The following is a 22,873-nucleotide window of genomic DNA, read 5'->3' on the forward strand; positions in this document are numbered from 1 at the left end:
GCCTCTGACCTGCTGTGGCTGTCCCACAGGTGGCCAGTGTTACCAAATCAGCAGCCTGAGCCTCTGCGGGGCCCTGTGCACTCATAACTTAACGTTTCTTGGGCCAAGCAGAGGGCACTGGTGAGGGTGACGCCAGTGAGTAACTCTCATTTCTACTGCCAGCCCCTGCTGGCATAGTGCAGTGCTGGCATGCCGGGTGTTCCAGCCGTGTCCCCGTGCCCCTGGATGGCTGTGCTCTCGTGTGCCTGTCCTGGCCCTGCCTCTGCTGTGGAGGTGTGTGCTCTGCTGCACTGCAGCCCCATGCATTCCCAACGTGCTGGGCCTGGCCATGCACTCCGTCCCCATGGGGCCTTGTCACCTGAGTGCTGGAGTTCCTGTGTCTCCCTGAAGCCCTGGGGGGGCCGCGCCTTCAGCTTCTGCCTCTCGTTTGTGCTCTCATGCTTTTGTTCAACAAGTGCCTATTTCCTAGGCCCTGTTCTAGGCTGGTCATGTGGGGTAATACGGTGAGAGAAACGATGTTGGGTCATGACTTAGGGTGGGCTTGTGGCCTGGGGGTGGTGGGAGTGGACACCTTCGTCACACAAGCAAATGTGAACTCCCGAACGGTGGCGTGCTGGGAGGAAGGGCACAGGGGCTGTGGAGAGTACGTGTAGAATTGAGATCTGTGGCTGGGTGCAGTGGGTCACTCCTGTAATCTCAACACTTTGGGAGGCTGAGGTGGGTGGAGCACCTGAGGTCCGGAGTTCGAGACCAGTCTGGCCAACATGGCAAAACCCCGTCTCTACTAAAAATACAAAAATTAGCCAGGTATGGTGGTGCACGCCTGTATTCCCAGCTACTTGGGAGGAGGAGGCAGAGGTTGCGGTGAGCCGAGATCGCGCCACCGCACTCCAGCCTGGGCGACAGAATGAGACTCCATCTCAAAAAAACAAACAAACAAAAAAAGAATCGTGATCTGCTCCATAGCTGCTCTTTGGAGGGCTCTGGGGCCGGGGCTTGGCAGGTGGGAACATTTCTGCAGTTGACCCTGGCTGCCCCGTGTGTGTGTCTCTAGCAGAACCCACGTCAGACATTGCAGTACCGGGTGTCCCTTTGAGATGGTGTGGTGTGCCGGCTGGAGTCAGCTGGCGACTCTGACTGTGGCCAACACATTACCACTGCCTTAGTTGCTTCATCAACTAAAGGGGATCATCTCGGACCAGCCTAAGGCCAGTCCTGAGTGAGATGATCTGTGGTGTGGTCTGTGGTTTTGTCGGGAAACTTTCTTCTCGAATGTGCTGACAGATAGGTATCTTGGTACCATGAGCACAGTTCCTGGTCTCAGAATGCAGTAACTCAGCGATTGCCCTCAGTGGGAGGAACCTGGGAACTTTGGGGGAGATCTTGTCACTATCCCTTCTGAGGCTGTAGCCATATCGCGGTGTTGCTGTGGTTAGATTTGTGTGGCGGAACTTCCCCGTGCTCAGACGAGTGTGTTCAACTGTCCCTGCTTATGAACAACACCTGGTACCCGTTCCACGCGGACCTCAGGATCCATCCAGACATACAGAATCAGAAGCTCAGCGAGAAGGGCCTGAGGATGGGTTTTCAGAAATGTGGGAAACCTTGCTTGAAATGGGTTTGGCCGGGAAACAGCATGGTGGAAGGAGTGTGGCTTTGGAATTCAACCGACCTGTGCCATGTCCAGCTCTGTGCCCTTGAACAAGTTCCTTCACCTCCCAGTCAGTTTTCTCACCCCTAGAACCGTGCGCGGAGGAGCGTGGCCCGTGTGCCCATTATGCTGTTGACGAACGCCACACGCTCACCTTTGTCCTCGCACGTTCTGTCTCCGCTGCCTCACCTGAGAAGTGGGGATAATGAGCCCTTCCTTCCGTGGCAGTGGGGATTAAAATGGGTTAGCATGTGAGAAATTTAATGCAGATCCAGACACGTAGTAAACTTTTAAGTATGAGTTGCTTGTGGCGATCATGGCCACGTTGCTCTTTCTGCCGCCGTTGTGATTCAGCTGACTGAGCTGTGTATATTGGATTCTCTTCCCCTTTGAAAGGAAGCATCGTTGGTTATGCAATTTCTAGATCATTTCTAAAGCTACCGTTTCTTGGAAGTCATACTCAGCTTTGTGCTGCAGGAAACAAGTGTCTCTTCTTTTATTCCTTGGTTCCTTATCCTCGTTGTGATGGCTGTGACATTGTTATTGTGAGCCTCTCTGAACTACCTTTGGGAAGATAATGGAATATAATGAAAAATGACTTAAAACAAGTGATGACATGGGCAGAGTCTAGGGTTCTTTTGTCCTAGAGTCTTAAAAATGTTAGAGAAGAGTTTCCATGTAGAGTTCCTTTGAGGGGAAAGGGTTTCTGTGCCAGAATCTTTAGAGCTCACTAAACATTTTACAGGTGAGTAAATGGAGTTACAGTGAATGTTCATCAATTCAGCCCAGGGCCTGGCCCACAGCAGGTACCCAGAGGACTGTGGGCATCGTGAGTCTTTGCTGAGGGCAGGGCTGGGGCTAGAGCTGGTCCTCTGGGGTTCCCAGCCCTGGCTTCTGAGCCATCCTGTTTCCCCACTTTGTCCCCTCACTCTCTTGCCTTCTGGTTTCCTTGTCCTCAGTGAATCAGTCTCTGGGTTATGGAAGGACGTGTGAACAGTGTAGTCTAGGAGAACATGCTCGGAGGGAAGGGTGGAGACGGGCAGGGATGACCTTGGCTGCTTGATGAGGTGGGAGCAGGGGAGTGACAGGAGGGCTGGCCAAGCCTGACCACAGCCTCCCAGAAGCGCAGGCCCGGCTTGCATTTGTCCTTCACCCACACTGTAATGAGCACTTCTGTCCCAGACTCCAGCCTGAGCTTTAGAGAGAGTCCCTCCCCTTATGGCGCTCATAGTCTGATGGGGCAGACAGATAAGGCATTTCACGGGCTATGGGGGCGGGCACAAGTGCTGTTACTGTGGGTGGGGAGGGGGTGGCACCGCAGCCGAGAGTGCTGGTTCAGGAGTTCATGCTGGCTGGGTTTCTCGTGAGTCCTCCTATTTAATCGCTGTGGGCCTTGGGCAAGTTACCTCTCTGAGCCTTAAGTAGGGGATAAAACTACTGTATAAGGTTAGAGATCAAATAGAGCATTTAACTTCTTGGCACTCCGGAAGTAGTAGCTTTCTGTGGTTCTAACAGAAACATTATCATTTCTAAAAAATACTTTTTCTAAAGCTTTCTCTAGTTCTCACTCCCATATTGTGCTTGCTTCAGTCAAGCTCTTGCTGAAGTCAAGAGCAGGGTCTCTCCCACTGGCCGATGTTTTGGGGTAGATGCGTCTTTGTTGTGGGCGGCTGTCCTGTGCATTGGAGGATGCCTTACAGCTTCCCTGGCTCCGACCCACGGGATGCCAGCAGCACTCCCCAAGTTGTGAGAGCCAAAAATGTCTCCAGACATTGCCAGATACCCCAGGGAGGGGCTGACAGAATCACCCAGCCTTTGAGAATAAGTGTTGGGATTTGCTTCTTTGAAGGAAATTTACTAATGTAATTTGAGGACGATTTTCATTTGTGTAGAAGAGTGGGACCATGTTAAGGGATCATATGAGCCCAGTGTAGATTAACAGTATTTATTTAGAAACCCAGACAGCAAGTGTAAGAGAAAGTCAGTAACATGCTTGTGGTGGGTTTATTTTCCACAGAAGATAGGGTTGGGCTTTGTGAAGCCAGGGGTTTAATCTCCTAATCCACATTGGTCTGGAAGTTGAGAATTAGATTTGACCAAGTACATCGTCTCTTGTGTAGCCCCTTTACGGATCTCTCAGATAATCTGAGTGCCCTTTGCTAAGGAGAAGTGTTTGAACTGCATTGAAGGATCAGGAGCTTGCCCAGTGAAGGTGTGGGGCAGAGGGAACAGCTTGTGGCAGGCTGGGAGGTGGGGGCACCTGGCTGTGTTTAAAGAACTGGAATGATGGATTTTTCCGGACCACTTCCCGACCTGGCTGGGAGCTCCTTGGGGGCAGAGCCTGTGTCTGGTTCACCCTGGCACCAAGTGTAATTCACAGGCAGAGAAGAATATTGGTGGTTGAGAGCAGGGGCTGCTCTGACCCAAGTTTGAACCTCAGTTCTGCCATTTTTGTACTGTGTGATCTTGAGGAGGTCACTTAGCCCCTGCGATCGCCAGTGTGTACTTGAGTGACATGGGGTAATGGCACCTCTTGTAAACAGTTAATATGAGGGGGCCGGGTGCGGTGGCTCATGCCTGTAATCCCAGCACTTTGGGAGGCTGAGGTGGGCAGATCACCTGAAGTCAGGAGTTTGAGACCAACCTGGCCAACATGGTGAAACCTCATTTCTACTAAAAATACAAAAATTAGCTGGGTTTCTGTATCCTGCACTGAAAGCTGACTAATTCAAGTAAGTACCGTGAGTTTTCATTTACATGTGAGGAAACTGAGGCAAGGGGTGGTTAAGTGGTTTGTCCAAGGATACAGGGAAATAGGAACAAGTTCATGCTTCTGAGGGTTGTTGGGATTAAATGGGGAGGAAATGTACATACATGGGACGCACTGGGCACATCGCAGCATGTTAATGTCTAGTCTATGTTTTTATGTTGCCTGACTGTAATTTACTCCTGCTTTGGCCATCTTAGAATTAGCTCTAGTGACCTGAGATGGAACATTGTAACTATGCCTTTTCTGTGCAAACAGTTTGTTAATATTGCTGGTGACTTTGCCCTGGCATTATGGATATACAGATGGCACCTGCTATGGACCTGCATTGCTGCTGGTGTGTATGAGCTTGTATGTTGCTGTGATCCTGAGAGGGAGTGCTGGGTGGTGGTCTCTTGATGTCACTGTTTGCTGGTGTGTGGTCCTCGGTAAGGCAGGTGCTCAGTCTCTCTGGGGCTTAGTGTCCTTGTTTGCAGAATGAGCTGAGGGGTACGTACTTTACATTAGAGTTGCGGCGATGAAAGGACCATTCTAATCAAGGTGTTGGGCTGCAGTTGTCAGGGAGTAAGGAAGCAAGAAGATTCGAAGGTGGGCAGACTAGTGCTGGAGGCCACTGGGTCAGTCCCTCTACTGTGTGATGAGGATCTGGAGAGAGATGTGAACAAAGCAGCAAAGCCCGTTGACAGCTCAGAAAGAAGTAACAGGGCTGAGATGCCAGCTGGCCTTCGAAAGTGCTGTCCACCCGCCTGAGGGTGGAGGTGGTGAGGGATCAGCTTGTGCAAAGTCATGGGGGCAGGAGAGAGCCCAGCCTTCCTGGGAAGGTGCCGTAGCATGAGGCGCTCAGGAGGGGCAGGGGTAGGAGGGGAGACCACAGAGATGGTAGACGCCCAGATGGGGCAGGACTTTGAGGACGACATTTAGTCTCAAGACTCAAAGCCTGTCACAGCCAGACTGCATAAGATGAAAGTCTGCACAGGAGCGGATGGGCTGCCTTGATGAGAATGAGTTAAACTGTTAGCTGGATAGAGTTGAGATGAGCAGCTCCCTTTGGAGAATGCAGTTGCCCTGTTCTGAGCTCAGCTTCTGGGCCAGGCACTTCTGTCGCTTTCTAAAGCATTTCACAGCTCACTGGAGACAGACTCAGAAAGGCTAACTGCACAGACTGCAGAGCTGCGATTTGAACATTCACTTGTTAACTCCAAAGTCCATGCTGTTTCTAAAAAAGACAACACCCTGTCTCTTGTAACATGTGTAACGTGATCAGAAAGGGGGAAGTGCGGGGCTGGGAGAGCAAAAGGAGATGAATGAGAAATCAGAGGTGCAATGGTGATTTTGCAGGGCGGTGTTGGAACTGTGATGCTCTGCAAAAGGGAGGAAGCGAGCAGAGCTCTAAGCCGGGTCAGGGTCTAGCTGGGTGGCGTCTGTCCGGGCACTGAAGCTCCTTGGTGGGAAGACGGTTGGAGAATTGCTTCTTGAGCCATCGCGGGCCAGCAGGATGAGAATGCCTTTTCCTCCTCCAGTTACTCCAGGCATTTGAAAGTGTGGGAGTGAGGCTGGAGTCAGCCGTTTGTCACGGGGCCTGCTGCTGGGTTGGTGGCCTTTGTGGGCTGGCCATCGACAGGGGAGGGAGATACAGTAGAATCACTGCAGGTGCCTCCTGGAGGCCTTGAGCCAGAGAGAAGCAGAAAGGACTTTAGCAAGCAAGGAACTCGTAGGATGGTTCCCATTATTCCTCACTAAAAGTCTATGAGGGGGCCAGGCGCAGTGGCTCACGCCTGTAATCCCAGCACTTTGGGAGGCTGAGGCGGGTAGATCACTTGAGGTCGGGAGTTGGAGACCAGCCTGGCTAACATGGCGAAACTCCATCTTTACTAAAAATACAAAAATTAGCTGGGCTTGGTGGTGGGTGCCTGTAATCCTAGCTACTTGGGAGGCTGAGGCAGGAGAATGGCTTGAATCTGAGAGGTAGAGGTTGCAGTGAACTGAGATAGTGCCATTGCACTCCAGGCTGGGCAACAGAGTGAGACTCCATCTCCAAAAAAAAAAAAAACCTGTGAGGGGTCTCAGTGATTTCGGAAACTGGCCTTTGTTTAAGTGTTTGCACAGGCACACACTTACTCTGGGTCTTCTTTTTTATTTATTTTTAAAATGTTTTTGAGATGAAATCTTGCTGTGTTGCCTAGGCTGGAGTGCAGTGGTGTCATCTCGGCTCACTGCAACCTCTGCCTCCCGGGTTCAAACGCTTCTCCTGCCTCAGCCTCCTGAGTAGCTGGGATTACAGGTGCGCACTACCACACCCAGGTAAGTTTTGTATTTTGAATAGAGACAGGGTTTCTCTATGTTAGCCAGGCTGGTCTCGAACTTCTGACTTCGTGATCTGCCCGCCTCAGCCTCCCAAAGTGCTGGGATTACAGGCGTGAGCCACCACGCCCGGCCTCACTCTGGGTCGTCTGACACTGTTTTGATTCCCCCATCCCGAGGGATTAAATTCCCTGGTTGTGTGTTTTTGTACCAGGTGGATTTTCAGCAGATTGATTACCTCTCGATTGCAGAATGTCTGCACTTCTTTTCCAGCCACTGGTTTACACAGCTGGGTTCTTACCAAGCATTGATTCAGCACCTGGGAGGTCACTGGTAACCTTGACCCGAGACGTTTCTTTAAATCTGGGTGAGCTTCAATTTGAGGTTGTGGTTCATGTCTGGAAACATGCAGCTGATGGTGTCACTGCACACATGGTTGAAAGGAGCCATAGGACGCCAGCTGTGTATGTGCTGGACACACACAGGAGGTTGTCTGGTTACTACTGCAGATGCTGTCTGCAGACCTGCCAGTGGTCCAGCCACGTTCAGAAAGAACAGCTGTGCTTGTAAGGGTGTGCTGCTTCCCTGTGCTTTCCTGGGCTTTGTTTTCTTTTGGCAGCAAATCACAACCATAATGATCCATTTTTTGAGTGGCTGCTGTGTACCAAGCACTGTGCTAGGTTCTTAAATATGTTTCTCATCATACATTCTTTAAAAAAAAATTGACTGAGCACCTGCCATATGCCAAGGCACTGTTCTAGGTGCTTGGGATTCATTTGTGAACAAAACAGAGCCCCTGTCCTCGCAGAGCTTAAGTTCTAGCAGAGGGTGCTGATGGTAAACACAGTGAGTAGATGGAGGATATGTGTTGGCAGACTTAAGAGCTACGGAGAAAGCCAGCAAGCAGAGGTGGTACGAGGTCCTGGGAGGAGCGGAGAAGACAAGTTACACAATGAATAGACTGGTCAGGATAGGCCTGAAGGAGAAGAAGAGATTGAAGCAAAGACTTGAAGGTGGCCAGGCGGGTGGCTCACGCCTGTAATCCCAGCACTTCGGGAGACCAAGGTGGGCAGATCACCTGAGGTTGGGAGTTCAAGACCAGCCTGGCCAAGATGGTGAAACCCTGTCTCTACTAAAAATACAAAAATTAGCTGGGTGTGGTGGCATGCACCTGTAATCCCAGCTACTCGAGAGGCTGAGGCAGGAGAATTGCTTGAACCATTCGGGCTTGAACCCTGGCAGAGGTTGCAGCGAGCCAAGATCGCCGCCACTGCACGATCTTGGGCGACAGAGCAAGACTCTGTCTGGAAATTAAAAAAAAAAAAAAAGACTTGAAGATGTCAGTGACAAAGTTAACCAAGCAGGTACTTGGAAGGAGAGTGATCCAGCAAGGGAGAAGGATGCAGGCAGGCCTGATGCATTTGAGCACAGATGCCCTGGGGATGGACAGAGAGAAGGAAGGGATAGGGTCAGTGGGACCAGATTCTGTATGGGCATGTAGGCCACTGTGTGATGTTGGCTTTGACTTAGACTCAGTGGGGAGCCACTGCAGAATTTTTGTCTTTTCGAGATGGGGTCTTGCTGCATTGGCCAGCCAGGAGTCCAGTGGCCATTCACAGGTGCAGCCATAGCGCAGTGTGGCCTTGAACTCCTGGGCTCAAAAGGTCATCCTGCCTCAGCCTCAGAATAGCTGGGCCTACCACACCACTGTGCCTGGCTCTACTGCAGAATTTTGAGCAGAGGAGTTGCCGTGGTGTTTTGCTGCTGCATAACAAATAACCACACATTTGGTGGCTTGAAACAACATGGCTGTCCATCATGGTGTGGCTGGGTTCCCCTCGGGCACTTATCAGGATGAAACAGCATGTTGGCGGCTGTGTCCCCGTCCCAGTCTTGGCTAAGGAATTGTCTGCTTCCAGGCTCACTGAGGCTGTTGGCAGAGCTCGTTGTGGCTATAAACTGAGCTCATCATTTCCCTGATTGCTGTCAGCTGAGGGTCACTTGCAGCTCCTAGAAGTCATCCAAATTCTTTGCTGTGTGGCCCCTCCATATTGAAAACCAGCAACAAGGCTTCTTTTGTGTGGAGTCCATCTCACACTCCAAATCTCTTCCCAGAGAGAACACTGATTGCTTTTAAGGGCTCACTGAAATTGTGTAAGGCTCATTGAGAATTACCTCCCCTCCCCTCCCCTCCCCTCCCCTCCCTTCCCCTCCCCCTTCCCCTTCCCCTTCCCCTTCCCCTTCCCCTTCCCTTTTCTAGAGGCAGAGTCTCGCTTTGTCGCCCAGGCTGGATTTCACTGGTGCCATCATAGCTCACTGCAGACTTGAACTCCCAGGCTCAAGCCATCCTTGCACCTCAGCCTCTGGAACAACTAGGATCACAGACGTGCGCCATCACACACAGCTAACTTTTAAAATTTTTTGTAGAGACATGGTCTCACTTTGTTGCCCAGGCTGGTCTCGAACTCCTAGCCTCAAGTGATCCTCCTGCCTTGGCTTCCCCAAGTGTTGGGATTGAGCCACCATGACCCACTGTGCCTGGCCTACCTCTGTTTCTTAAAGTCATCTGTGCCATTTGATGTAACCTGATCACAAAGTCACTGTCCCATCATATTCATAGTTTATGCCTGTGTTCAAAGGGAAGGGTATGAACATCAGGGAAAGGGAATCTCAGAAGTCTGCCTGCCATAGGAGTAGTGATTTCATTGAGTCCTAAACAGAATGCCCTGAGGTGCTGTACTGAGAGGAGGCTTCCGGGCAGGGGAAGGGCAGAGCAGGGAGTCTGAGGAGGCTGTTGCAAGAGTCCAGACAAGAGGTGATGATGGCTTCACCTGGGTGGCAGCTGTAGGGAGGGTGCGATTTGAAGAATGGATGTGGGTGTGGAGAAAAGAAAGGAGTCAAAGATGACTCTGAGACTTTCGGCCTCAGCCAGTGGAAAATAGAGTTGCCAAGTTGGAGTGAAGATGAGGGGTGGAGTTTGAGACATCTTAGACATTTGCAGGAAGGAGGTGGAGTAGGTGACTAGAGAGGATCCTGGCAGGAGTGGGGCTGGATGGGAGGTATACATTGACTTGTTGGCATTGGAGGTGGTTTGAAACCAGGTGAGGTCTCCTTGGAAACAGGCGGACAGAGAAGAGGACCAAGGAGTGAGCCTGAGGCCTGCCGGCACCAGGAGATCTGGGAGGAGAGGAGGAAGCAGCAAAAGCGAGAAGGCAGGGCTGGTGAGCTGGGAGGGCACGAGTGTGGGGTCTGGAAGCTGGGTGCCGGCCCGGTGAGCATGGGTGTCAACAAGGGGAGGGGCAACTGGGCAGAGGTTGCTGAGAGGGCAGGGCAGATGAGGACTCAGAATTGACTGTTCAAGCACTTTGGGAGACCGAGGCAAGTCAGGAGTTCGAGACCAGCCTGGCCAACATGGTGAAACCCCATCACTACTAAAAATACAAAAATTATCTGGTGTGGTGGCGGGTGCCTGTAATACCAGCTACTTGGGAGGCTTAGGCATGAGAATCTCTTGAACCTGGGAGGCAGAGCTTGCAGTGGGCTGAGATTGCACCACTACACTCCAGCATGGGCGACAGAGCGAGACTCTGTCTCAAAAAAACAAAAAAGGAAAAAATGAAAAGAATTGACTGTTTAGCAATGAGGAGGCCATCAGTGACCTTTGAGCAGAGCTGTTTTCGTGAAGTGGTGCAGGCAAAAGCGAAACTGGAGTAAATATTTAAGAGAGAATGGGGCCGGCATGGTGGCCTCACACCTGTAATCCCAGCACTTTGGGAGGCCAGGGTGGGTGGATCACTTTAAACTGGGAGCTTGAGATTGGCCTGGGCAAAATAGTGAGACCCCATCTCTACAAAAAAATAGAAAAAATTATCTGGGTGTGGTGGTGTGCACCTATAATCCCAGCTACTTGGGAGGCTGAGGTGGGAGGATCACTTGACCCAGGAGGTCGAGGCTGCAGTGAGCTGCACATTGTTATCACCAGGGGTCTGCTGCACTGGTCCACTGCAGTGATCGCGCCACTGCATTCCAGCCTGGGTGACAGAGTAAGTCCCAAAGAGACTGGGAGAAGAGAAGTTGGAAGCAGTGAGCAGATGATTCTTTTGGTGGCTTTGCTACAGAGTGGAGCAGAGAATGGGGTGATAGCTGGAGGCAGAAGTGGTGTGATTTTTTTTTTTCCTTTTTTAAGATTGGAGAAATACAGGGTTTTGTTTGTTTGTTTGTTTGTTTTTAATTTGAAAACAACCTAGTAAGAGAATAAGAGGTGAACATATCCGGGAGAAGAGAGAATCACTGGAGCTTTGTCCTTGAGTTGCATCTGAAGGAGTGGGATCTAGAGTTCAACAGAGAAGTGGCTTCAGCTGGGGAGAGTCCAGCGTAGCAGGCGCCTGGGAGAGGATGGGGCACAGGTAGATGGGGAGGAGGGTGCTTGCTCTTGCAGGCACTCTCGTGCGTGCTCTCTCCCTCTCCTTCCCTCTATCTCTCCCTTTTCCTCTTCCTCCTCTCCCTTTCCCTCTCCCTCTCTCCCCCTTCCATGCTTGTAGTCTATTGTTTGTAGTGTTGCTTCATTGTTTGTGTGTGAGTGTACTTTTTTTTTTTTTGAGACAGAGTCTCACTGTATTGCCCAGGCTGGAGTGCAGTGGTGTGATCTCGGCTCAATGCAGTCTCTGCCTCCCAGGTTCGAGCGATTCTCCTGCCACAGCCTCCTGAGTAGCTGGGATTACAGGCATGTGCCACCACACCCAGCTAATTTTTGTATTTTTAGTAGAAATGGGGTTTCACTGTGTTGGCCAGGCTGGTCTTGAATTCCTGACCTCAAGTGATTCACCCACCTCGGCCTCCCAAAGTGCTGGGATTACAGGCATGAGCCACCGTGCCCGGCCTGAATATAGATTTTTAATTTCAACATATTTACTTTTTAAAAAATAGACTTTATTTTTTAGAGCAGTTGTAGGTTTACAGCAAAATTAAGCAGAAAGGATAGAATTCCATGTATCTCCTTTTTACCCTCATGTGCACAGCCTCCCCTCTCATCAGCAGCCCACACTGGAGGAGTCCATTTGTTACTGTCGATGAGTGCACACTGGCTGACACATCATTATCACCAGGAGTCCAGAGTCTACATCAGGGGCCACCCTGGGTGCTGTGCACTCTGTGGGTTTGGACAGGTGTATAATGACATGTATCTGCCGTGGCCGTATCACACTGAGGAGTTTCACTGCCCCCAAATCCTCTGTGATCCACCTGTCCGTCTCTCTTTTTCTCCTTACCCCTGGAAACTACTGATCTTTTTACTGTCTCCATATTTTTGCCTTTTCCAGAATGCCATACAGGTGGAAATCATTTTCAGACTGGCTTCTTTTACTTAGTAATGTAAATCCGAGTCTCTTCATGTCTTGATAGCTCATTTCTTTTTAGCACTCAATGATGTTTCACTGCATGTATGTACCGTAGTTTATCCATTCACTGCTGAAGGACATCTTAGTTGCTTCCAAGTGTTGGCAATTATGAATGAAACTGCCATAATCATCTGTGTGAAGATTTTTGTGTGGACATAAGTTTTCAGCTCCTTTGGGTAAATACCAAGGCGTGCAGTGGCTAGATTATATGGTAAAGTATGTTTAGTTTTGTAAGAAACCAGCAAACTGTCTTCCAAAGGGGCGATACCATTTGACTCCCCCTAGCAATGAATGAGAGTTTCTGTTGTTCCACATCCTCCCCAGCGTTTGCTGTTGTCAGTGGAAGTTCTTGTTCGATTGCTCTGGGTTTTTGTTTTGTTTTGTTTTTGGTGAAGTAGGAAGCAGGGTCTCGAGGATGGGTGTCTTAGTCCGTTTGAGCTTTTTTTTTTTATTTTTACTTACTTATTTATTTTTTGAGACAGAGTTTTGCTCTTGTTTCCCAGGCAAGAGTGCAATGGCACGATCTCGGCTCACCGCAACCTCCGCCTTCCGGGTTCAAGCGATTCTCCTGCCTCAGCCTCCCTAGTAGCTGGGATTACAGGCATGTGCCACTGCGCCCGGCTAATTTTGTATTTTTAGTAGAGATGGGATTTCTCTGTATTGGTCAGGCTGGTCTGGAACTCCCGACCTCAGGTGATCTGCCCGCCACAACCTCCCAAAGTGTTGGGATTACAGGCGTGAGCCACCACGCTGGGCCTTTTTAAAAATTTTAAACATAATATTGTAGACGAGGTGGCTTGTAAACAACAGAAATTTGTTTCCCACAGTTCTGGAGGTTGGGAGGCGTAAGATCAAGGTGCCAGCACGTTCAGTGTCTGGTGAGCTGTTGAACATGTTTTTTTATAAGGGCACTAATCCCACTGGGGAGGGCTCCACCCTCATGACCTAGTCACCTCCCAAAGGCTTCATTTCCTAATACTGTCAACCTGAGGGTTAGGATTTCAACATGTGAATTGGGTGGGGGCACAAACCCTGGGGTTGTAGCAGTGGGGATGGTGTGCTGGGTTGGAAGCTGTGTGAAAGCCATCAAGGCGTGTGGGAGAATGGATAGAGAGGGAAGGAAGCGTTGCTGGGGGGCAGCAAGGGCCCTGCCAGGTGATCAGGGACCAGTCAGCGTGCTGCGCGTCTTTCTCCAGCCATGTTTTTTGCACAGGTACACGTGCAGGGCAGGCTTGTCTTTGAGCTAAGTGTGTACAGGGAAGGGAGAGAGAGGCAGGGCTCAGGGACGTGTGAGGGTGATTACATTGGGGCATGGATTCTCCGGGCGGTGGAAGGAGGGTGGATTAGAGAAGCAGGATGGAGACCCTGAAGCCTGGAGGGTAGTGGGGGGTCGTCACCGTGTGGGCGGGGAGGCTCCAGTCACACAGCCGGCTGGGAGTGGAACCTGCAGGGTCAGTTTCCACCACGTCTGACGTAGGCTCCCCCCGGGGCCGTTGCATTGCTGATTGAGCCGCATCTGGTGAGCCTGGTCCAGGAGTGTTGGAGAAAGGAAGTGGAGGTCTTCATTCCACTCCTCCCGGGTGCTGGGTGGGGAGAGGGAGGCAGCAGTGCCGTCCCGGGCGTTGTGGTGGTGGGCGCTACTTTGCTGGGCTGGCCTTGCCGAGACACAGCTTCTTCCCATGGTGTAAGAGCCTCCCCATTTGTGAACAGCACCCCATCCTCAGGGAGAGCTTGTCTGGGGGAGGACCGTGGGGATCAGCCCTGACTGTTGGCTGTGCAGATCCCTCTTCTGGGGGCTGCCTGGTGGCCCCAGTGCTAGGAGCTGCATGAGACAGTGGTGCCATGCTCGGCCACCCTGCCCTTGGGTGGACATAACCTCACATGCTCCTCTGGAGAGGGCCAGGCCAGGATAGCAAGGGGGGAAGTCAATGCCAAGAGGAAACATCTGGGAGGAACAGGGATCGTGGTCACACGAGCGTGAGGCGCCACTTCCTCTTCTTCAGTCCTTGGCCCTCTCCAGGGGATCCCAGCCTCACTCCCAGCTGGCTGCCCACAGCAGGTGTCCCCTTGGCCTTCCCACCAGGCACCAGCCTGGCAGCTCCCCCTCCCCAGGACCAGGTCTGCAGAGAGGTGGGGCTCGCTCATTCAGGGACGCCTTCTCACTGCTTCTCTGAGGATCCACATCCCTAGATCATTTCTGCAGATGTTTAGCCACTGCCAGGAAGCCCTCTCCAGCCTCCATGAGAGGACCAGCCTTGCCTCGCGGGCCTTCTGTGTGCCTCGTGGATCCCGCATTCACCCAGGGGGCACAGGAGAGATGCCGGGGTGAGCATGTCTGTCACCACAGCTGTGCAGGGGCTGTGGCTCGGGCTGGCCTCCCAGGGGCCCAGTGTTCCATTGTTTCAGGTCATTGGGTTCCTCCCCTGCAGCCGCACTCTGAAGAGTATCCGTCCCGGCTGCAGGAGTGGAGATCTGGTTGTGCAGTAGTGCAGCAGCGGCGCCATCCCCCAGGCTCTGTGGGCTGGCCTGAGTGCTGCATGGGAAAGCACCGTGGACACCATGGGGAAGAGATGCTAGTGAAACCCTCTCCGGCTCAGCCGGTGGCCTCTTCCTCATCAGCAGTGGACGGCATCCTGGCTCTGCCACCCACTCCCTCTGCATCTGGGGCAAGTCGCTTTGCAGACACAGCTTTCCCACGTGTGAAATGCAGAGTTGCGTCAGGCGGTCTCGGCATCTTCCAGCAGGAAGAACCTTCTGGAATCAGCAGTAGTCCCTGCTGTCCTCCTGCAGGCCTGGAGACCCCTCCTGGAATGGTTTTCCTGCCTGCCTCTTCCTGCTGCATAAATGAGAAGAATCCACAGGAGCCCCCCCCAGGAAGAATGGCCCCCTTTGCTGTGTGTCGACTCCCAGCTCTGTGGCTGGGGCACCTCTCATGCGCAATGCCACCCGACCAGGTCCCCCCCAGAAGCATGCGCACCCCTCGAGGGACTGCCTCTCACTTATTGTACGCTGGTGCTCATTAGAACTCAGCAAGTGCTTGCCAGATGGTTGAATTCAGACGTCATCCCTTTTCTTAGAGATTATCTGCCCGAGGACCCGGTCCTGGGGATGTAGTGGTCAGCATACCTGCGTCAGTCTTGGGGATGTAACGGTCAACACACCCACTTCTCCCAAATCAAAGCACCCAACGGCAAGATAGTCGACTGAGACCACACTGCAGAGACTGATAAGGGATGCTCAGTGCCAGGCTGTGAGTCCTGTGGCAGAGTTCCTGAGGAGAGGGGTGGGGGTGGGGTGGTGGTGTGGAGGTGGCATGGGAAAGCTGGGAGAGGCTCCACTTTACACAGGGGGGTCAGGGAGGGCTTTGGTGGGAAAGCAGCATTTGAGCAAAGATGTGAGTGGTGTGCGGGTGAAGCGTGTTCTTCCGAAGGACACAGTGGAGACGAAGGCCCTGAGGCCGGCGGGGACTGGCCTTGCTTTTCAGGCGTCACGACCTACACCAGGCTCCTTGAGAAATGGGCACCAGCGGCCTGTGCCCCTGGCTCCCGCGGCACCTCACGCATGCTCAGCAGAGTCATCCCTTTTGGCTGCCTGGAGTCGTATATTGGGGCGCAGCTGGTGCTTTAGTTACTAGAATATCAAACTGCCGTCCAGTGTGTTAGCCACTAGCCCCATGTAGCTATTTAAATTGAGTTAAAATTACCCGAAATGGAAAATTCAGTTTCTTAGTCACTCTGGCCAGTCAGGCGCTCAGTAGCCACATGTGGCTTGTGGCCACCCCGTTGGGCGGCTCAGATTAGTACATTTCCACCATGCAGGAAGTTCTGTTGTTCAGCCCTGGTCTGTGGGACAATCTGTGACTTGAACCTTTGTTGTTCTTGATGTGTAACAGCAGCACACAGTGGGTGTGAAACGAGCAAATCCATAATGGAATGTGTGTAGCCCAGAGAGGTCTACAGAAAGAACCGCCCTCAGGGCTCCGGGGAAGGGGAAGGAAACCCAGGCCAGGTGGCAGGTGGGGGTGCTGGTCAGATAGGTATAGCGGGGAGGGCCCTGCCTGGAGTCAGCCTTGCTGGGGTTGAGGTTCTTGCCTGAGGGTGTGTTTGACCCTCCCTGTGACCTCTAGTGCACATTTAAATATGGGAGATGACGGGGGTGGGGGAGGAGCCTACACCCCTCAGAGATGTATTCTGAAGGTGCCTGTTGTGCCTTCCAGTGAGGGGACAAAGAACCTGGTGGAGATTGAGAGAGTGCAGTCATAGAGCCAAAGATCTGAAAGTCTGCTCTGCCTGGCCGGCTGGGCGGCTGGACACAGTGCTCTATGTTCTTGTGTCTTACCTGTCTCCGAGCTGGCAGCCAGGAGGCTGTGCTTGGGAAGTGCCTGTTACAGCAGTCCATGCAGCACTTACTAGGAGGTGTTAGGGATCACCGCGTCCCGGCTTATGGCATGAATGAACGAATGAATGAACAAATGAATGGTAATGAGGACTTGCCTAAGGGAGGCACTGCAGGAAAGGGAAAATGGAGAAAAAGGATTGAATCAGTTCTTGAGGGTAAACACGAGCGATTTATCTTGGCTATTAATGACTTGATGAAAGCAGGTTGGCTGTTCCGTGATCAACCAGTGCTCGAGATGTTTGTTCTGAATCCCACCTGGGTTTGATGGTCCATTTCCTTCTGTTGGTGGGCTGGGAAACTTGCCTGTATCTGAGGAAAGCAGCTTTTTTTTTTTTTTTTTTTTTTTGAGATGCGGTCTCACTCTGTGGCCCAGGCTGGAGTGCAATGGCATGATCTTGGCTCACTGCAACCTCTGCCTCCCAGGTTCTCGCGATTCTCCTGCCTCAGCCTCCCGGGTAGCTGGGACTACAGGCGTCCGCCACCACGCCTGGCTAATTTTTGTATTTTTAGTAAAGACAGGGTTTCACCATGTTAGCCAGGCTGGTCTCAAACTCCGGAGCTCAGGTGATTTGCCGTCTTGGCCACCCAAAGTGCTGGGATTCCTGGCATGAGCCACTGCGCCCGGCCAAAAGCAGCTCTTTAAGTTCTTACCACTTTATGTTGCTCCTGACATCGTCTTCCTGTGGGGAAGGCAGACACTTGCTGTGAAGCTGTGGAGTGTCAGTAACATTCAGGAATGGCGTGAACTGAACCAAAAAAGACCTTCCTCAGCTTGCACATCTGTTCCTGTGACTTGTCCCACAGACAAGGCAGTGTTTCTGCCCTGGTTTCTGGAAGGTGTTGATGTCCTTAGAAAATGCACAGAGGGCAAGGTTGTTTTGTGGGATGGGGTAAAAGGAGAATGAATTTGCTCCAGATACGTCAGACCTCCTGTGTTCATGGAACTTCCTCAGGCTTGCAGGCAGCCTCAGGAAACAGTACGCCCATCTTCCTGGAGGCTCCAGGTGTGTGTTTAGGTCCTTTGCCAGCCCACCTTCCTTCTGCCCTAGGTGAGGTTAGGTTCAGCCTGGGAGGTGGCGATTCAGTATGAAATGCAGGAGAACTGGTGTGGGACCACAGGAATACACGGGCTTTGAGAAACCCATGGGCAAGCCCATTCCTGCAAAGCAGTTCTTCAGCCATCAGCCACTTGCTACTCATAAATTAACTTCCCTTTGCCCAGATAGGGATAGAATCTGTTCTGCTTTTCAGATGTTAGTGGAAAATATCATAGAATAATGCAGTAATTAAAACGGTTTCCTCCTATTTCCTATCTTAAATAGGAGATTATTTAAAATATTTACACATCTTTTTTATTTTTAGAATATTCAGTACAAGTAACACTGAATTATTTCATGCCTTCTGTATTTTTCATGTGCACACATCTTACTAGATTGCCACATCAAATCAGTTCCTGTTTATGTTGAGCGAGCTGGGTTTGTAACTGCGAGCTGTTTCAACTCCAGTTTTGCTGATTCTTTGTTGTGAATAGCTGTGGTTTATCTCAAGAATCCTGTAAGATTCTGTATATGGAAGAATGGTGAGTCATCTAGAGTTGCAGAATAGCCCTTTTGGGCCCCACAGCAGTCCAGTTTCAGTCCAGTTTTCCTGTTCATTCCCCCTTGCCTCTAGCAAGAGGCTTTTACAACCCAGGCTCTGGGTACCAAGTGTTACAGGTACATGTTTATAGGCGTTTGAAAGTTAGAGGTTAGCTTTAAGCTCTGACCTCCTTTTAGGTTTCAGATCTGGGTGTTAAACACATTTTCTGTGGTGGGAGGAGTGAGGCGGGGAAGGCGGGTCAAAAGGAGTGGGCTCTGCCTTCCCCGCCCCCACATCCTGCAGAACCAGGCACGAGGAAGAAGGAAGGTGAGGGGCCAGTGGGTGGGATGAGGAACCATATCTCCTGGGTCACCCTTACCCTAATACCTGGCTGTTCATTCACTGTAAGTTTTTTGCCTGGGATAGATTTTATCCCTTTTAGAGGTTCGTTTGAGAGCAGTTATTTTTAAAGCAGAAGAAATTGAGTGGCAGGCAAAATTCCTGGGACAAATACATTAATATCTAGTTAGGTGGATGAATGTTCGCTGCTGTAACAAACTTGAAATATACATAAAGCTTCAAACACAACGGAGGTTGATTTCCAGGCCATGCTCCCCTAGGTTCCTTCCGTCCTGTGGCCCCATCGTTTTCAGCAGAAGCTTGCTGGGTTGTTCGGTATTACACCAAAGCAGGGGAGAGCGTGTGTAGGGACCAGTGTGGGAGTTCTGAGAGCCAGCCGTGCCTGAAGCGGCACACACAACTCCACTCAGAGTTAATTGGCTGGAATGCTGCCCCTACCTGTGAGGGAAGCCAGGAAAGAGGACTGCGCCCAGGACAACGAGGAAATGGGTTTGGTGAATAACTGGGAGCCTCGGCTGTGATGTCTTTTCCTTCCTCCCTCTGCCCCTCTCCCTTCTTCTTGAGAATTAAATGCCTGAAACCGATTAGTTGAATACCCCTCTCATTCTCTTGCCCAAGTGATAGTTCCCACCACCTGGAGGATGAAGTCCAGACCAGTTGGTGTGGCCTACGGGGCGTGCAGGATCTGGCTGCTGCCTGCATCTCTGGCCACCAGTGGTGCCAGTGCTCAGAGCCAGTGACGCCCTGCCTCTGCACCTTGCCTGTTCTGCTGCCTCTCCCGGGCAAATTCTTGTTTGTCCCTTAGGATTCAGCTTAAGTGACACCTCCTCTAGGAAGCCTTCTTTGATCACCCCAACCTCTCCCAGACCTCTAATGTGGACCCCACAGTCCCTGGACTTCTTTGAGACCACACTAGCCCACTCCCCGCCCCCTCCTGGAACCTTGAGCTTCTGGAGAGCTGGGGCCACACCGTCCTCCTGTGGTTTTCCGAGCCGGTGCAGGTGGTCAGCAGATAACCTTGAGTGAATGTGAATCTAAAAAAAGTAATAAAGGGATCTGGCACACTTAACTTTTAAATCTAAATATGTTTCTTTTAAATTCTATGATTGTTCTGGGTCTTGAGAGCAGACCTCCCCAACAATTCGGTCTCCCATATGGGGTCACAGCCGTTTGGGTTTCCGATCGCGGGCACGGCACCCATCTGCGGTGTCTGTGAAGCCGGCGCGTTCTGCCGGGGGTTTGGGTTTTTTTGTGTGTGTGATAGATCTTTTTAGCTTAGATACGTTTCTTAAAGCTTCTCTTTGTTTAAAAATGCGCAGGAAAACTTCGGCGTCGTTCTATTTTTGTCCTTTTTAACACCTACCCCTGATTTTTCCTTCTTTTTTTATTTCCTTGCAGACTTTGAATTTTAAACAGATAAAAATGGATGCTGTTTCCATCGTTTGGTGTCCTGCTTTTCTACGTAGAGGAAACATTTCTCAGCACAATTAAAACGTGTTCGTATGCTTATTAATGTCTTTGTAGGATTTCATCCTGTGAATCATTTGCTTGTCCAGCAATAAGGAAATGGCTTTTTGCGTCTGCGTTTTGATGATGGAATTCCCCATGGGCTTCAGAGTGCGGTGCCTGCCTTTCAGATGATTTCCTTAGGACCGAGTTCCTGGGACTTGCTGCTTCATGACCAGCGTCTCGGGCCCCTGTCAGCTCTGGCCTGTCCTCCCTGGGGTGATGGCCCTGCCGGGAGCCGTCTGTCCTTGGCAGATGGAGTTCACTGTTAGTGAGAGCCCAGCCTCTGTTTTACAAACGAGCATGCTCCAAGCAGTGGCTGATGGGCGGTTGGAATTCACCATGGCTCTGGCCTCTGGTTCCTGTAAATTGAGGCGTAGGAAAATTAGTCCTCCCCGGGTCCTCTGGTTTACAGAATGCGGGGATGTCCAGGTTTCTCCTGTCCTCCTCATCCCTGCACTGGTTCCACGGGACTGGCTGGACACAGCGTCACTGGTTCCCAGCACAGCTGACACCCCTTCCAGGAACCTTCTCACTATCCCCGGGGCAGAGGTGGCCTTCCGGGCATGCGTGCTCCTCTCCCGTCTCCTCTGCAGCTTCCTTTTAGTCCAGTGGTGTTTCAGGTGTCTTGCTCTTACTGGAGCTCCTTAAGGACAGGGCCTAGATCTCAGTCATCCCCAATCCCCAGCTAACCCCAGCTCATGTTCCTGATTGGCCCTGGGACACTAGCAGAACGTGACTTGGTTCTGTTCACTAGTGCCATATAGAGTCAGGTTCCTGGAGCTGGTGTGAGAGTGGGAGGTTTGAATCTTCATGGGCAGGGGCTACATTGTGTCAGGCTCTGAGCTTGGCATTTTCCATGTGAAAGGAGACAAGGGCTCCAGGAGAAATGGCCTGTATTTGCTGGGGTGTAGGGGCGGGCCACATGCCACTGAGCTTTAGAAGCCTGCTGGGTTAGGAATCAGCACACAGCCTGGATCAGTGAAAATACAGGAACAAGAAGATAATAGGAGAGTTTGTGCTGTAAGGCAGGTGTTTACAGTTTGATTTTTCTTGAGTGAGTAGAAATGTTGGCGTAGCTTGAAAAAAAATCTGAAATAATTCACTGTCCACGGAAAGGGCTGGAAAGGAGTTATCTTAAATTCACATAGATTAAAGAAAGCATAGCTGGTCGTGGTGGCTCACGCCTGTAATCCCAGCACTTTGGGAGGCTGAGGTGGGCGGATCACCTGAGGTTTGGAGTTCGAGACCAGCCTGACCAACATGGAGAAACCCCGTCTCTACTAAAAATGCAAAATTAGCCGAGCGTGGTGGCAACGCGCCTGTAATCCCAGCTACTCAGGAGGCTGAGGCAGGAGAATCGCTTGAACCCGGGAGGCGGAGGTTGCGGTGAGCCGAGATCGCGCCATTGCGCTCCAGCCTGGGCAACTAGAGCAAAACTGCGTCTCAAAAAAAAAAAAAAAAAAAAAAAAAAAAAAAAAAGATGAAAGAAAGCATTAAAGAAATGAGATAGCATGGGAGGGGAAAGACTTATTAAGGAGCGAAGTTCTCAGTCCTAGCTGCACAGTAGGATTACCTGGCAAACTTAACAAAGAAAAATTAATATATGCATTCTCCCCTCAGAGATTGATTTTCATTGGTTTGGGGTGAAACCTGCGCCTCAGGATGCTTGAAAACTCCCCGGGTGACTCTAGCACGCAGAGGGTTCAGAGCCACCAGTAGAAAGAATGGACTTTCAATTCAGACTTCAGCTCAAATATAGGCACTTTATCGCACGATCTGAGGCAAGGTTCTGTCTCTGAATTTTCTCTTCTTCAAGACAAGCCCCGTGAGGATGGGTACCTACATTTCCGGTCATCAGGAACTATATTCCCAGTACATGGCATAGCACCTAGAACATAGTTGGTTCTCAATATGTATTTGTTGAATGAAAAAAATGACATGGATGAATAAGGTTAGGATTAAATGAGAGGAGATGCTTGGGCCTATATAATTAACAGACTGCTCTTAGTGTTATTTATTTATTTTACTTGTATTATTATTATTTTTGAGACAGAGTCTTGCTCTGTCACCCAGGCTGGAGTGCAATGGTGCAATCTTGGCTCACTGTAACCTCTGCTTCCCGGGTTCAAGCGATTCTCCTGAGTAGCTGGGATTACAGGTGCGTGCCACCAGGCCCAGCTAATTTTTGTATTATTTTTGGTAGAGACGGGGTATCATCATGTTGGTCATGCTGGTCTCGAACTCCTAACCTTGTGATCCACCTGCCTCGGCCTTCCAAAGTGCTGGGATTACAGGCGTGAACCACCACATCCGGCCCCTTAGTGTTATTTATTAATAAGCAGAGTTAACAGACACAAACTCTGATGGTAACTGATTGATGATATCTCCATTCTACAGATGGTAAAACTGAGGCTAGAGAGGTTCATTTCTTGCCTAACATCAGGCAGCTTGTTACGAAGCTGGGATTTGAGCTCCTGACCTGCCTGAGTCTAAATCCCACGTATATCCCCTCCCACCTTAAGTCAGATCTTACTCCTTAAGATTTCTAATATGGAAGGAACATAGTAATGTCATTCCTTCCCTGAAATGCAATCCCTAGACCCCTCATAATTTGTGCTACTTACAAACTTATTGTTAAGTCCTCCTCTCCTCTTTTCCTTACTATTAGGTGGAGATTAAGAATAAATTAGTATTTTTCTTAGTACTGTTTTGTACTAAGTTACATGGGCATTTTTGCTCTGCCATCTCTCTCTCTCCTTGTAAAAATCTAAGTTAGGCCGGCGCAGTGGCTCACGCCTGTAATCCCAGCACTTTGGGAGGCCGAGGCGGGCGGATCACTTGAGTTCAGGAGTTCAAGACCAGCCTGGCCAACGTGGTGAGACCCCTGTCGCTACTAAAAATAAAAAAATTAGG

General features: G+C 50.8%; 1 protein-coding gene across 12 annotated transcripts in view, besides 9 other annotated features; it reads left to right on the forward strand.

Moving 5' to 3' along the window:
* Nucleotides 1–22,873, forward strand: part of TBC1D14 (TBC1 domain family member 14) — a 123,649-nt gene that overhangs the window by 14,879 nt on the left and 85,897 nt on the right. Inside the window, exons 1-2 of one of the 12 annotated variants that reach the window (XM_017008480.2) lie at nt 18,380–18,418; nt 19,850–19,947. The exons of the other annotated variants lie outside the window; for them this stretch is intronic. The gene's annotated coding sequence lies outside the window, so the exon portion shown is untranslated. Of the gene's footprint in view, nt 1–18,379; nt 18,419–19,849; nt 19,948–22,873 lie in introns of those variants that run through there. 12 annotated transcript variants of the gene reach the window in all.
* Nucleotides 11,520–11,658: a silencer, noted in NCBI's record as "fragment chr4:6937591-6937729 (GRCh37/hg19 assembly coordinates)". NCBI's record gives its function as "represses an EF-1alpha promoter that drives an FKBP-Casp9 reporter gene in an ReSE screen in K562 erythroleukemia cells {active_cell/tissue: K562}" and the evidence as "EXISTENCE:reporter gene assay evidence [ECO:0000049][PMID:32094911]".
* Nucleotides 14,493–14,542: a silencer, noted in NCBI's record as "silent region_15241". NCBI's record gives its function as "represses an Ori minimal core promoter by ATAC-STARR-seq in GM12878 lymphoblastoid cells {active_cell/tissue: GM12878}" and the evidence as "EXISTENCE:reporter gene assay evidence [ECO:0000049][PMID:35858748]".
* Nucleotides 15,256–15,833: an enhancer, noted in NCBI's record as "NANOG-H3K27ac-H3K4me1 hESC enhancer chr4:6941327-6941904 (GRCh37/hg19 assembly coordinates)". NCBI's record gives its function as "activates a minimal SCP1, AML or CMV promoter by ChIP-STARR-seq in naive H9 embryonic stem cells {active_cell/tissue: H9 hESC(naive)}" and the evidence as "EXISTENCE:reporter gene assay evidence [ECO:0000049][PMID:30033119]".
* Nucleotides 15,834–16,411: an enhancer, noted in NCBI's record as "NANOG-H3K27ac-H3K4me1 hESC enhancer chr4:6941905-6942482 (GRCh37/hg19 assembly coordinates)". NCBI's record gives its function as "activates a minimal SCP1, AML or CMV promoter by ChIP-STARR-seq in naive H9 embryonic stem cells {active_cell/tissue: H9 hESC(naive)}" and the evidence as "EXISTENCE:reporter gene assay evidence [ECO:0000049][PMID:30033119]".
* Nucleotides 15,975–16,104: an enhancer, noted in NCBI's record as "active region_21264". NCBI's record gives its function as "activates an Ori minimal core promoter by ATAC-STARR-seq in GM12878 lymphoblastoid cells {active_cell/tissue: GM12878}" and the evidence as "EXISTENCE:reporter gene assay evidence [ECO:0000049][PMID:35858748]".
* Nucleotides 17,960–18,029: an enhancer, noted in NCBI's record as "active region_21265". NCBI's record gives its function as "activates an Ori minimal core promoter by ATAC-STARR-seq in GM12878 lymphoblastoid cells {active_cell/tissue: GM12878}" and the evidence as "EXISTENCE:reporter gene assay evidence [ECO:0000049][PMID:35858748]".
* Nucleotides 18,574–19,399: an enhancer, noted in NCBI's record as "H3K4me1 hESC enhancer chr4:6944645-6945470 (GRCh37/hg19 assembly coordinates)". NCBI's record gives its function as "activates a minimal SCP1, AML or CMV promoter by ChIP-STARR-seq in naive H9 embryonic stem cells {active_cell/tissue: H9 hESC(naive)}" and the evidence as "EXISTENCE:reporter gene assay evidence [ECO:0000049][PMID:30033119]".
* Nucleotides 19,400–20,225: an enhancer, noted in NCBI's record as "H3K27ac-H3K4me1 hESC enhancer chr4:6945471-6946296 (GRCh37/hg19 assembly coordinates)". NCBI's record gives its function as "activates a minimal SCP1, AML or CMV promoter by ChIP-STARR-seq in naive H9 embryonic stem cells {active_cell/tissue: H9 hESC(naive)}" and the evidence as "EXISTENCE:reporter gene assay evidence [ECO:0000049][PMID:30033119]".
* Nucleotides 20,226–21,051: an enhancer, noted in NCBI's record as "NANOG-H3K27ac-H3K4me1 hESC enhancer chr4:6946297-6947122 (GRCh37/hg19 assembly coordinates)". NCBI's record gives its function as "activates a minimal SCP1, AML or CMV promoter by ChIP-STARR-seq in naive H9 embryonic stem cells {active_cell/tissue: H9 hESC(naive)}" and the evidence as "EXISTENCE:reporter gene assay evidence [ECO:0000049][PMID:30033119]".

This window comes from Homo sapiens, chromosome 4 (assembly GCF_000001405.40).
Source record: "Homo sapiens chromosome 4, GRCh38.p14 Primary Assembly".
NCBI classification, from domain to species: domain Eukaryota; kingdom Metazoa; phylum Chordata; class Mammalia; order Primates; family Hominidae; genus Homo; species Homo sapiens.